The sequence below is a fragment of the Homo sapiens genome, chromosome 17 (genome assembly GCF_000001405.40).
Source record: "Homo sapiens chromosome 17, GRCh38.p14 Primary Assembly".
Taxonomy (NCBI): Eukaryota; Metazoa; Chordata; class Mammalia; order Primates; family Hominidae; genus Homo; species Homo sapiens.
The window spans coordinates 69,170,192-69,183,725 of record NC_000017.11 but is presented as its reverse complement, the minus strand read 5'-3'; the positions used below and the strand labels follow the sequence as shown (position 1 = coordinate 69,183,725).

At 34.7% G+C, this 13,534-nt stretch overlaps 1 protein-coding gene across 2 annotated transcripts in view, besides 1 other annotated feature; it reads left to right on the top strand.

Annotated features, from left to right (window-relative positions):
- ABCA10 (ATP binding cassette subfamily A member 10) overlaps positions 1-13,534 on the top strand; it is a 96,842-nt gene that overhangs the window by 61,123 nt on the left and 22,185 nt on the right. For both annotated transcript variants that reach the window (NM_080282.4, NM_001377321.1), the window contains 5 exons: positions 918-1,051; positions 1,436-1,573; positions 8,213-8,320; positions 8,949-9,119; positions 9,332-9,445. In NM_080282.4, coding sequence (NP_525021.3) covers positions 918-1,051; positions 1,436-1,573; positions 8,213-8,320; positions 8,949-9,119; positions 9,332-9,445 — 665 coding nt within the window. The remainder of the gene's footprint in view (positions 1-917; positions 1,052-1,435; positions 1,574-8,212; positions 8,321-8,948; positions 9,120-9,331; positions 9,446-13,534) is intronic.
- Positions 3,852-4,052: a silencer, noted in NCBI's record as "peak2965 fragment used in MPRA reporter construct". NCBI's record gives its function as "represses an SCP1 promoter by STARR-seq MPRAs in K562 erythroleukemia cells {active_cell/tissue: K562}" and the evidence as "EXISTENCE:reporter gene assay evidence [ECO:0000049][PMID:32103011]".

Sequence of the window (13,534 nt, the reverse complement as noted above, 5' to 3'; positions counted from 1 at the left end):
CTTCCCTGGGGGCTGAGAGTGCCCACAGGGTTCCTCCCACTGCTTCCTCTACCCCTATATTTCGCTTGGCTTTCTAAATTCGTCTTAGCTCCAGGTAAGGTAAAATCCTCCCGTGATCTCAACCTTCGGATTCCCCAGTGAGGATGTGTGTTTGGGGACACACATTGCCCTTTCACACCGAGGGCACTCAGTTTTTCAGCTGTCTCATGGAGCCTGCAGCTGCAAGCCGCCTCTTTCAAAGGATCTGTGGATTCTCTCCCTGATGGGTCCTTTTAAATCCAGAGCTCCCTTGGTGCGGGGGTGGTTGATTCAGATGTGGAGGCTGCATCATAGCTTGACTTCTCCCTGTGACCAACTTGACTTCCTTTCCATCTATGATGGAAATCAAGTCAAGAAAAATAATGGGCACAATGGCAAATATCAAGTTAACTTAATTCCATAAAGATGTTTTGAATGGGTTACTAGTACTTTAAATATCATGGCAAGGTTAGTGCCATTTAAGGTTGACAGGATCACTAGAACAAGCCTGGGTCATGAGGTATATTTTGTATGTATTATTCATAATTACAAATATTACAGGGTTCTGGTAAAGTTTATAAAAGTCACTCCTAGCAAATTTTCTTCCTGTGAGAAATGCAATCTTATTTTCATAAACTCTTTTCACCTGGTGAGAATTATAAGATAAATGAATATATTTCTGAAAAGAATAAAGGAGTCCGTCACATTGAAGATAGTAAATGGAACTTAATGTGGTAGCATCAGAATGAATAGTATTGTACTCCTAAAGAGCAAGGCTCTTTACTAAGCTATTCTGGGTTTTTCTTAACACGATTGGCAATCATTATTATTTTAAGCTTTGACTTTGATTTTCTTGCTTTTTTTTTTTTTTTCTTGTTGCCTTCCTTCCACTATGTTAGGATCAAATATTGAAGACCTCGTGCATTCACTGAAGTGTCAGGATATAGTTTTGGAAATAGATGACTTTAGAAACAGAAATGGCTCAGATGATCCCTCCTACAATGGAGCCATCATAGTGTCTGGTGACCAGAAGGTATGTTTGCTTCTATGCACTGTTTTTTTTTGGTTTTTTTTTGTTTTTTTTGCCACGTCCTAATACTTAGAACTATAGGAAACTTAAGTATGTTTTCTAAATTGGCATCATATTAGAGGAGGCTTGAAACTTTCTTTGTCACATAAAATATAAATATTTGACATCTTTTCATGTTAGTAAATGTTAATCCATTTCATTTACAAAACAAGTCACTTGAATTACAAAAATAATGCATTCTTGTACCAATTCAAAGAAGGCAGAAGTGTCAAAGAAAAATTAATAGTCTCCTTCTCATTCTAATTCCACTCTGGTAATATACAAAGTATACAATAAATATATTTACTATAAGAATTTATAACTTATATTTGTGTACTTTTTTTCAAGGATTACAGATTTTCTGTTGCGTGTAATACCAAGAAATTGAATTGTTTTCCTGTTCTTATGGGAATTGTTAGCAATGCCCTTATGGGAATTTTTAACTTCACGGAGCTTATTCAAATGGAGAGCACTTCATTTTCTCGTGTAAGTAGAGTATTCGACTTATATAAGAGGCAACACAGCAGAGGGATAAAGGATGAGGGCTCTAGAGCCTACCATGTGAGTTCAAATCTTGTTTCTGCCACTTAACAGCAAGTTTCTTAGCTACTCCTTGCCTTTGTGTCTTCATCTGCAAAGTAGGGAGCGTAATAGTACCTACTTTATAGAATTATTGTGAAGATTAAATGAATTTACTGAGTACCTAGAACATAGCATGGCATACATATATATATATATTTACATATAAATATATATACACATTTAAATTTATTCAATAACTACTTCCTGAGTGTACTATTTTCTGGTACTTCTAGATGTTGAGAATACAGCATGAACAGAATAGACAAAAATCTCACCCATATGGAGCTTACGTTCCTATAAAGGAAAGAGGAAACATTCAAATACATGTTTGCTATTACTTATTCTGAAAGATCAAGAATCTTTCAAGTACTGTTATGTTTAGTCTAATTAAATTTTTAAAATTCAAAAGTTTTATGGAAAAATTTAAATATATAATTATTTACTTAGTAAATTAGATGTAACCTATCACTTCCTATCCCTTATCCTGATTTATTTTTTCCATTACATTTATTACCACTTGGTATGCTGTAGAGTTATGTTTTATGGCTGGCCTCACCCCTCTAGTTTAAAATCTTGTCTGATTAAGAATCACAGTCCAACACAGAACATTAGAAGAGCCAAGATCCAAAAGGACACTGCAAAATTTAAAATAAAAGAGAAAAAAATCATAGGACTGTTGAAAACTCATAATTTTGACTTTGGTTTACCATATACAACTTACTAGGTACTCAATGCGTATTTACTTAAATCAGTGAATGGATTTGGTTGGAAATGAAGAATATCAGAGATATCTTAAACCTAAATCCTTAATTTTATGTCAGAGTGTCAGATTTCCCTGGAGAGTTAGATGAATATAAGACATATACGCTGATTAATGCAAATGCAAAAGAGTGTGTATGTATGTATACACACCCACATATGTATATGTATATCTCCACCAAAGGGATTTATGATAAAATATGGTCCAATTCTAAAATTATGATTTTTTAACAGTTCTATTGTTCTTTGTCATTTAAAATTCTGCAGTGCTTTTTTTTGGTTTGGCTTCTTTATGTTTTATAACTTGGGGTGTGAAGTGCAATTTTTGATCAGATGCAATTTAGTTATTCTTTCTAAATTGTCAAATTCTTAACTGGTGTGTTTGATTATGATAGATAAAAAAGGGAAAAAATTATAGAAATCATGTGGATGTTAGCAAGAATATGCATAGTGGTTTTAGATAATGAAATTTTATTGGAAAATTGCATAATAAGAAATTAATACCATATAATGCAAACTCTAGTTTTCTGCGAATGAGATAGGGTGATTTAATTGTAAGTAGAGAAACTATCTAATATAAAACAATACAGTGTCTCTCTGGATGGTAATAGCAATGTGCTACCAGTTCAGAGCAAAAATAAGAAAAATATAATCAAAACTTAGTTCTGGTAATTTCTCAAGAGTGAGATCTAATATAATTTCATCTATTTCCCAGTACTTCCAGAGTTAATCATGCCTTTATTTACCCTTAATTGTTTACTTTTAATATAGAATCGATGTTGTCTTCCCTTTTTTTTTAATCAATCTCCTAACATCCTCCAGGACTTTTCAGCAGATGCTTTAATGCTTAAAGACCCTCCTAATTTATTTTTCAGTGGAACTGAGTTCAGACTCAGTTTGTCATTGTTTTTCAAATATGAACTTCTTGAAAGTAATAATTATACTTGACTTATTTCTAGCACAAAGGATGATGCATTGCACGGAGCAGAAGCTCTATAAATATTTGTTGAATGGATGAATGAGTGGGTAGACTGGATAACTGGTTATGCTGTGCACCGTTTGTTACCATTATGGCACAGCTTTCTCTTCTGCAAGATGGGAACTGCAAGCAGATAATCTGTAATAGTCCTGTCTTTAAAATTTTTTTATTTTAATACTTGCTTTTTCTACCTCATAAAGTAGACGTAACATTCAACTAAGATATTATTTTTAAAAGTGTTTAATGTATCGCACAACCATGAGCCATTATTATCATTACTGTGGAAGCATGTTACAGTTAGCCTTTGTCGGACAAACTCTTCATTACTGTAAAGACATAAAAATTATCTTGCAACTTTTAAGTAATATGATTTAAAGGGCTTTCGGATTTTTCAGAATTGAATGTATGCTGGGTTTACTGAGTGCAAACCACTGTAGTTCACCCTGCATTTAATAAAAAAGCTTTCTCTGTAGGGAAAATAGGTCTGGCTGAGCATGAGCCAGCTCTGGAGGAAGAAAGATGGTATTTGGGGTTTTCCCCTCAATGGTAGCAGGAAGCTTGCCAGGGCCTCTGGGTGTTGCTAAAGAGAATTCCGTAGAGAATATCAAGATAAAGAAATTCTGCTCATGCAGAAAGTAGCATGGGTTGACCTCCTTATCACCTGCAGTCTGATAGAGGGTACCTTTCCTTTTGACTGTTCTGCTTCTTCCTTCCTCCTTTCTTTTCCCCAGTGTTTTGGGGAATGTTATGTTAATCCTTAGGTGGAGTAAATAGAAATGGAGCTGAGGAAAGAAGTTACTCTTGAGGCTTTTGCTTCAGATGCAGTATGACACACATTTATCTTTTCCAGGTAGCCTTTCACCCTGCACAGAGCTGAATGGGTCTCATGTGGCCAGTGGGCCCCAGAGGGACCCATCAGTTACCTGAGTTTAGTTTCTGAATCTGCTTACTAAGATTATTACTCATGAACTCACAGAATATTTGTCTTAGCATATTACCTCCAGACATCAAATACATTCGTTGTTGATTGCTCCAACATGTTAGGTAGGTCTCTTACATGGGGTTCTATTTTTCCCTTTTGACGAGGTTCAGATAGAGGTTTTTTTTTTGTTTGTTTTGTTTTTTTGTTTTTTTTTGAGATGGAGTTTTGCTCTTGTCACCCAAGCTGGAGTGCAATGGTGTGATCTCGGCTCACTGCAACCTCCGCCTCCTGGGTTCAACAGATAGAGCTCTTTAATCTACTTTTTTGCTAAACCGAATCAGAAAACAGAGGAGATGATGCATAGATACATAACCTTCTTCTCTTGCAATGTATATAAATCTAGACAAAATTAATGTTCGGAAGGCTTGTCAAGGAAGCAATTTGGATATTAAATTGTCTCCTGTGGATCCAGGGAAGGTGAGTTCTCTCTTAGTCCCTCATGAATAACTTTTAAAATATTCAAATGGAAATTGTGTTTCTTTAGGAAAGTTAAGAATTTCAGTCTTTTTCTAGTTGTTGCATTTTCACCAGAAACAGGTATTTTCTTTTTAAAGAAAACAATAATTATTCATTCTTTTACTCATGCATAACCAAACAAAATGATCAATTATAGTAAGAATAGGGATTAGTATAGTATATTTTACTGCTCACCCATTGTGGAGGATAATTTATTTTTATTTTCAGTCACAATTTCCCTTTTACTCAGATTTAATAACATCCTTTCTCAGGGACACCTCAAATCTTGGGGCTGATTTATATGCCAGCAGAAGTCATAGACCAGAGGTGCTTCCACTTTAACATACACTAGTATCACCTGCTGGGCTTGTTAAAACAGATTACTGGACACCATCCCCAGAGATTCTGATTTAGTAGATCAGATGTGAGGTCTGAGAACTTGCATTTCCAGTAAGTACCGGGTGACGTTGATGCTGCTGGTCTGGGACCACACTTAGAGAACCACTAGCATAGAAGAGTCACTATCTCCACAATTCTGTGAGGCTCACTTGCGTCTAGATTTGGCTGTACATTGCCTCTGATTGCTGAAGGTGTCTTCTAAAGCTGTCATGACTTCTCTTAATAACCTCATTTTCCCACTATTTTAAAATTATGCCCTTTTTGTTTCTTATTATCCTTCTAGACTTTGAAATGTGTACTTCACTAAGCTACGTGTCATCTGTTCCTTAGCTACTTGTTGGTTCTTGCCTGATATTGCTTCCTGGTCTGTTTTAAATTCTAGTGCTTTCATCTTAAAAACAACTATTCTTAGTTATTGAGCACCTCCCATATAGCAAATGCTACATGTAGCAAATAAAAATATTATTATTTCACTATATATATATATAACATATATATATATATATATTTTTTTTTTTTTTTTTTTGAAATGGAGTCTCATTCTGTCACCCAGGCTGGCATGCAGTGGCAAGATCTCAGCTCACTGCAACCTCCACCTCCTGGGTTCAAGTGATTCTCCTGCCTCAGCCTCCCAAGTAGCTGGAATTACAGGCATGCACCACCATACCCGGCTAATTTTTTTGTATTTTTAGTAGAGATGGGGTTTCACCACGTTGGCCAGGCTGGTCTCAAACTCCTGACCTCAGGTGATCCACCCGCCTCAGCCTCTCAAAGTGCTGGGATTACAGGTGTGAGCCACCACATCTGGCCTCACTATACATTATTTAATTTAGTTCTCACTAATGCCTCTGAAGTTGATATACTTAAGTTATAAATAGAAATATACTAAGGAACGTAATTGGACATTCACAAGTCAAGTTCTAATATGGCATTGGAATCCCAATGGTGAAGGATTCAAATGCCTATATTAGAACTCTGCCTAATAATGACTTTCACTGGTTAGCTCTGACCTTCTGTGTATCTGGACCCCCTGATCCTCCTACCATATATTAATATTCAAATGCCAGTCAAGGACCAACAGAAGCTAACAAAAGTGTCTGGACCAGCATACAGGAAGAGGAATAAGTGACAAAAGAAAAACTCATGTGAATTTCATAGAATAGTAGCATTAAATGGCAGATTGAAAGAAGTATAAAAAAGAGGTATGCATGTAAGAAGACAATTTTGTAGCTTAGGAAATTGAAACAGTCACAAAACTACTGATAGAAATGGGGAAGTTGAAAAGGAAAGTTTATTTGGAGGAGATGCTAGTATTAGTTTTTGACTTAGTATATTAGATAAAGCAGAGTATACCCAAGTAGATACTTTCTGTAGAATATTTTAAAAGCAAGGAACCCAGAGAAGTAGATGGAGATAATGCATACTTTGGGAATCATTAGGATGAAGTTGAGGATATGCAGAAGAGAGATGGGGGAGCAAAGAAAAGCAGAGATTTAGGGTAGCAAAATTAAGCAGTACACCCAAGTAGAGAGTGCAGGATATAAAGGAGAAAAAAGGTATCTCTTTAGTTGGACCCAAACTGCTTGTACACTCTAAGTACAGTAGTCCCCCTTTATCTATGATTTTGCTTTCTGCGGTTTCAGTTACCCTTGGTCAACCATGGTTGAAAAATATTAAATAGAAAATTCTAGAAATAATTTATCAGTTTTAAATTGCACACTGTTCTGAGTAGCATGATGAAGTCTTGTCCGATTCTTAGAGAGGAAAACAGATATGTGCATCAACCAATGACATTGGCCCATTTAATATTAAGCAACAGGATCAACAACATGGGTAATATCCTTTCCCAGGGGTGATACTGGGAAGCAGGGATATGGAGTCATAAGTGTTACCCTTCCCTTACACTGATGATTGTGCATTTATTTAGCCCCTGGTAATCTGGTTCTTCCCACATCTTTACTAATACTCTTAGAACAACCTTTTCATTGCTTCTTTTTTGCCCTTCCACCTGCACCTGCATTTATGACAAAAACTTACCTTTTCTGCACTCCTTTTCTTTAGATTTTTTTTGTCATAATAATAATAAATTACAGTGTCTTGAAAAAAACTTAAAGACCCCTCAATGCCTTGACAATTGTTTAATTTAAACAATTTTAGAAGTCAAATTATGTAGGCAGGGAAGATTTGCTCTCTTCTAATTGTATCTTGCACGTAGTTAGGCATAATGCCTAAGCATAAGTCCAGCTTCACAACAATCACTATTAGAGGCCAACTTGGAAATAGGGAACTGGAACAAATGACAACTTAACTCAGTGCTTCAGATATGATAACTGTAGCTCCCTAAAATATCAGATGTAAATGTAAAAGAGAAACTGCTCATGCCCTCTAAGTACAATAGTCCCCCTTCACAGTGATTTTGCTTTCTGATGTTTCAGTTACCTTTGGTCAACTGTAGTTCTAAAATATTAAACGGAAAATTCCAGAAATAAATAATTCATATGTTTTAAATTGCATGCTGTTCTGAGTAGCATGATGAAATCTTGCCCTGTCCTGCTTCCCACCCAGGAAGTGAATCATCCCTTTGTTTGGTGTGTCCACACTGTATATGTTACCCATTAGTCACTTAGTAGCCATTTCAGTTATCAGATTAAAAAAACATATTATGTATAGGGTTTGGTACTATCCAGGTTTCAGGCATCCACTTGGAGTCTTGGAATATATCCCCTGTGGAAACGGGAGACTACCGTATATACATATAAAATTGAGATTTTGAATTTCTTTTATATCATGCTGTTCCTGGGAATGGAACCTGCCACTAAGGTTAACAAAACATGTTTGCTTGTCTCTTTGCTTCTTAAATCAGGTGAATGCTTCTAGAGTTTTTCTTTATTTCCTGGAAACGTATCTTATAATGTTTGTATAATTTGTAACAATTGCAACAGCTTACTGATGTGTTTTCATCTTTCAGGATGACATAGTGCTGGATCTTGGTTTTATAGATGGGTCCATATTTTTGTTGTTGATCACAAACTGCGTTTCTCCTTTTATCGGCATGAGCAGCATCAGCGATTATAAAGTAAGAGGGAGAGAGAGGAAATTAGATTGAGATTGATTTTATTTGACTGTAGTAATTGCAATTTTATTGTTTTATACACACACAGTTGTACTTTGGTTAATGTTTTTACACATACATTACAATCTAATATCAGTATAGATTATAGTAAACACATGATTTCAAAGAGGTCAGAAAGTTTACCATTTAGCACAATAAAATTGCCACAGCTGTAAGGGAAATCATGCTAAATAAACTTCAGGGATGAAGATGTGGTACTGTTTGATCCATGCAGTTATTTCACAGTTCCAAAGGGAATTTAGATTTTTAACTATAGCATGAAATGTCAGACATACAGTGTTTCCAATTATTTAACTACGCTTTAATAAACTGGGCTTTAAAAATATATAGTGTAGTCATCTTCATTAATCTGTATCAATGGGTAAATTAACTTTAAAAATAGCTGAGACTTTTCTGTTGAACCAATAACTACACATTTCCATTGGAGATGCTAGATTTTTAGGAGGATGCTTTTTGTCACACAGACACTATAACATACTATTTCTAAAATTTATTAAACAATTTTTTTTACATAACCACAAAATCTTTTCAAACTAAGATCCCTTCCTCTATCCCTTCTATTCTTTGTCAGAAAAATGTTCAATCCCAGTTATGGATTTCAGGCCTCTGGCCTTCAGCATACTGGTGTGGACAGGCTCTGGTGGACATTCCATTATACTTCTTGATTCTCTTTTCAATACATTTAATTTACTACTTCATATTTCTGGGATTCCAGCTTTCATGGGAACTCATGTTTGTTTTGGTAAGTGATCATTTTTTCCACAAGCCAATTATAATAGTAGAATCAAAATGAAAATTCATTTTCATGAATGTTTTGTCATTAGCAAAAGGCATGTAATATGCAAGAAAATAAGAAAATTGCCTTAGGCAGCTTTATGACCTGATTATCTCCCCTCCTCTTTCCCTCTATGACCTGCCATTTCTAATCTTGCCATTGATCCTCATTATTTGCAGGTGGTATGCATAATTGGTTGTGCAGTTTCTCTTATATTCCTCACATATGTGCTTTCATTCATCTTTCGCAAGTGGAGAAAAAATAATGGCTTTTGGTCTTTTGGCTTTTTTATTGTAAGTATATATACATGCGTGCACATTTATATTAAATTTCCTTGAAGTTTTTTTAAATGCAAATTTAAGTATAAATACTTTGCTTAGAAGAGAATGGAGGGTTTTTTGTTTGTTTTTCTTTTGTACTTTCATTATTGTTGTACCATGTTTATGGGTTCAGAATGTTTTGTTCATTTTATTTCCTTTATTTCCCATTTGTTCTTTGAGGTTTCTTTTTTAGAACTCTGTTTCTTTGGAAAGAAGTAAAATATATGTAGGAACCATGGCATGTAACAGCTGAAAGACTAGATCATTCAGGACATTTCTTCATTTTACAGAGTGGGAAAAACTGAAAAGAATCAGACTTAAACGCAGGCCTCTCAACTCAGTGATGTTTTTCTCTTAAATAATTCTCCTTCCTTAAAAAACAAACAAACAACAAGCATGATAGGGGGCTATATAGATGAATAAAATAAATAAGAAACTGTTTTCTTAATAAATAATTTACTTATTACTTCAGGCATATGCTACTGCATCTCCTTCCCTATCACTAGCTGATATCTTAAGCAGTTACTATAGCTTTCTGACCATTTCAAACATTAAAACAGTCCAATTTTGTTAAGTAAGATTCACTTAAAGAACTAAAAAAAATCTAAAAGGTTGGTCAAGTCCAAATCATAACTTTCTTAAGCAATGTAAAACTCTCTCCCCAGGCTCATCTTAGGCACGCCCTTAGTTTGGGGATCAGCGGTGAGAAAGAGAGCAAGGTCTACACTTTGACTCTCTCTTTTTTTCTTCTTCTTCTTCTGGATTTTCCTTTCTCTTTCTGTGGACAGGGTGAAGGGATTAGGGTAAAAGGACCAAAGTTTTACTTCACTGGAGCTGTTACAGTTACATTGGTTGGCCTTTGTGAGTAGTATTTAAAAGTTGGATTTAGTATAAGCAGGAATATCACAAACACAACCAGTTGGAGAATTCAGTATGTCAGCAGAAATCCTAAAGGCTACTAAATTGCTTCTAAGCTTCCAAATCGCATCCCTGTGACAGCTAATCACATAATTCCTTGGGCCAGTTTTATCAATGGTTGTACTACAATGGTCAAATATCATAACCAAGGGTAATGTCTTCTTAACCATCGGCATTAGTCATTGATCTTTATTTTTTTCTCTTCTAATTCCATTGTAAAGGTAGGCTTGTCAGTTTCACTTTTTAATTTAATCCAATTTTGCTTTGTATAGTTTGAAACTATTTTGTTTGGTGCATTGAAGTCTGGAATGATTATACACCAGCCCTATTTATTCTTATGGTTTTTGGCCATAAAGTCAAATGTGTCTCATATTAATATAGGTACACCAGATTTCTTTTGTTCAGTATTTGCTTGATAAATCTTTTTTGCCACTTGTGTTTACTTTTAACTTTTATTGTTCTTATGCTTTAATGCCTGTCTCTTGTAAAAGAAATATAGTTGGATTTTATTTGTTTTTTAATTCAGACTTAACCTGCTTTTAATTTAATGAGTTTATTGTGATTTTTGATATTCTTGAAGTTACACTATTTTACTTTTTGCTTTGTGTATGTGATTTCTCTTTTTTCTTCCCTTTTTTGTTTGTTTGAATTTGTTTTTATTCCATATTTTTCTTTTTTTTGGTTTGAAAGTCATAATCTATATTTTATTACTTTGTATTAATTTGCTAGGGCTGCCATAATAAAGTACTACAGACTGGGAGGCTTAAGGAACAGAATTATTTTCTCACAATTCTAGAGGTCAGAAGTCCACGGTCAAGCTATTGGCAAGGTTGATTTCTTCTGAGGCCTCTCCCATTGGCTTATAGAGGGCCATCTTCTTCCAGGTCTTCTCATGGTCTTCCCTTTGGACGCGTCTGTGTCCTAATCTCCCCTTCTTATAAGGACAATAGTCACATTGGGTTAGGGACTCCTGCAATGGCATCCTTTAAACTTAATTACCCATTTAGAGACTATTTCTAAATATAGTCATGTTCTGAGCTACTGGGGGTTAAAATTTAAACATATATATTTTGGGGAGGCAAAATTCAGCCCATAACACCCCTGAAAAATTTTTTATGTGCTAAACTTAACAAAGCCTAAAGTTAATAAATATCTTAATTACTTCCAACACCATATTTTGAGGATTTTATTATTAATAATTTCTTACCCTACTTACATGCTATTGTCTAGTGTTTTGGTTTTCTTTTTTTAATCCCTCAAATAAGCATTTTTATTAACATTTTAAGAACTTAAAAAAGATTTGTGTACATTTTAAATCAATCTATTTGTTCACTATTCATACTTGGATTTTAGTCTTTTTTTCCTCCCTTTTGAGATCAATCTTTTTTTTTTTTTTTTTTTGGCTTCCCAAAATGCATCATTTATATATTCCTTTAACAGGTCAGTTAGCTATAAACTCTCGTAGTTTAAAAAAAATCTTTTTTCACCCTCATTCTTAAAACATAATTTAGCTGCTTATGCATTTCTAGGTTGACAGTCATTTTCTCTTATCACTTTGAAAATTCACTCTCTTGTTGCTTACATTTTAACTGTTCAGATGTCTGCTATCAGTCAGTTGCTATCCTTTGCAGAGGCTCTCTCATTGACTAACCTTCTCTGACTTTAGCTTTCATTACAATGTTTCTAGGTGTGATTTTCTATTTATCTTTATTTTTGTATAAATTGGGATGCCTGGAATTCATTTCTGTCTTCAGTTTAGGAAAATTCTCAGCCAATACCACTTCAGATATTGCCTGTCTGACTTAAAGTCTCTACTGAGATAATATTAGCTTTTCATACTATTCTCTACATCTGTTAGCATTTCATTCAAATTTTCCATGTCCTTGTCCTTGCTGCCTTCTGGGGAAGCTTCAGACGTTTCTTCCAATTCACTTGTTTTAAATTCATCTGCATCTAAATTATTTTTACTCATTGACTACTTAAAATTTCAATTTTGTTTTCCAAAACTCTTTTTGGTTCTATTTAAAATATGCTTAGTTATTTCTCCTAATCTTTTGTTACTTGTTATTGTTCTATATTTCATATTTGATTTATTTCAACATTTCATTGAAAACAACATTTCTACTTGTCGTTTGACAATTCTAGTCTCAAAAGTCATCTAGTGCTTATTGCCTTATATGTTTGATAAGTTTTTGTCGGGGAGAGGAGCTCATACTTGGTTGACCTTAAAGTGTGGAACTCCGAAGACTCTGTATTAGGGATGTTTTCATCCCCAAAAGATTTTCACTTACTTTTGTGAGACATGCAGTGTAGAATCCATCTACGATTGTACAAGCCAACTTAGAGTATCATGCCTCAATATGGGATTTACAAGGAATTCCCATCAAGAGGGTTTCATTTTAGTCTCTTAAAGGTCTTTGCAGGGAATGACTTTAAAGAGAACCCAAATCATATCTTCCTAACTCATGGGCTGATATGGGGACTTGTCCTCAGCCCAAGCAGATTTTGTGTTTACTTAATGGTCCAAGGTGGGTTTCAGGCTTTGTTTTTGTCCTTGAAGAATTTCCTCACTTTTTTTTTTTCCCTTGAAACTAGCAGTGTATGTAAGGGACAGTTGTTTCAATTTCCCAAAATTTAATTGTACAGTATGGGTAAGACCCTTTAGGGTATCTGTTACATCATATCTCTACATACAGATGTCTACAACTAACTTTGAGACTGCAGTTTTATAAAGCAGTGAATGCAGAATACAGTTTGTAGCAGATGGAAGAATAAATATAGAATGCAGAAGCAGAAACAGGAAGTGTTTAATTACTCCTTACAAGGCATTGTTGTTGCTATCATTGCTTGCCAGAAGGAATGGTTAATGGAAGACTTCTTTTTTTTTTTTTTTTTTTTGATGAGTAAAACAATATAGATGTGGTAATTAGTGTAGTAAGAAGACAAAAAGGAATGGAATAAAGGTGAAAGAAGCAAGATGGTCAAAGATACATTCTTCACTTGCATTGTTAGATTTACAAAATGTAACGTAATTTTTTTTTTTTTTTTGAGACGGAATCTCACTCTGTTGCCCAGGCTGGAGTGCAGTGGGGCGATCTTGGCTCACTGCAACCTTCACCTCGCGGGTTCAAGTGATTCTCCTGC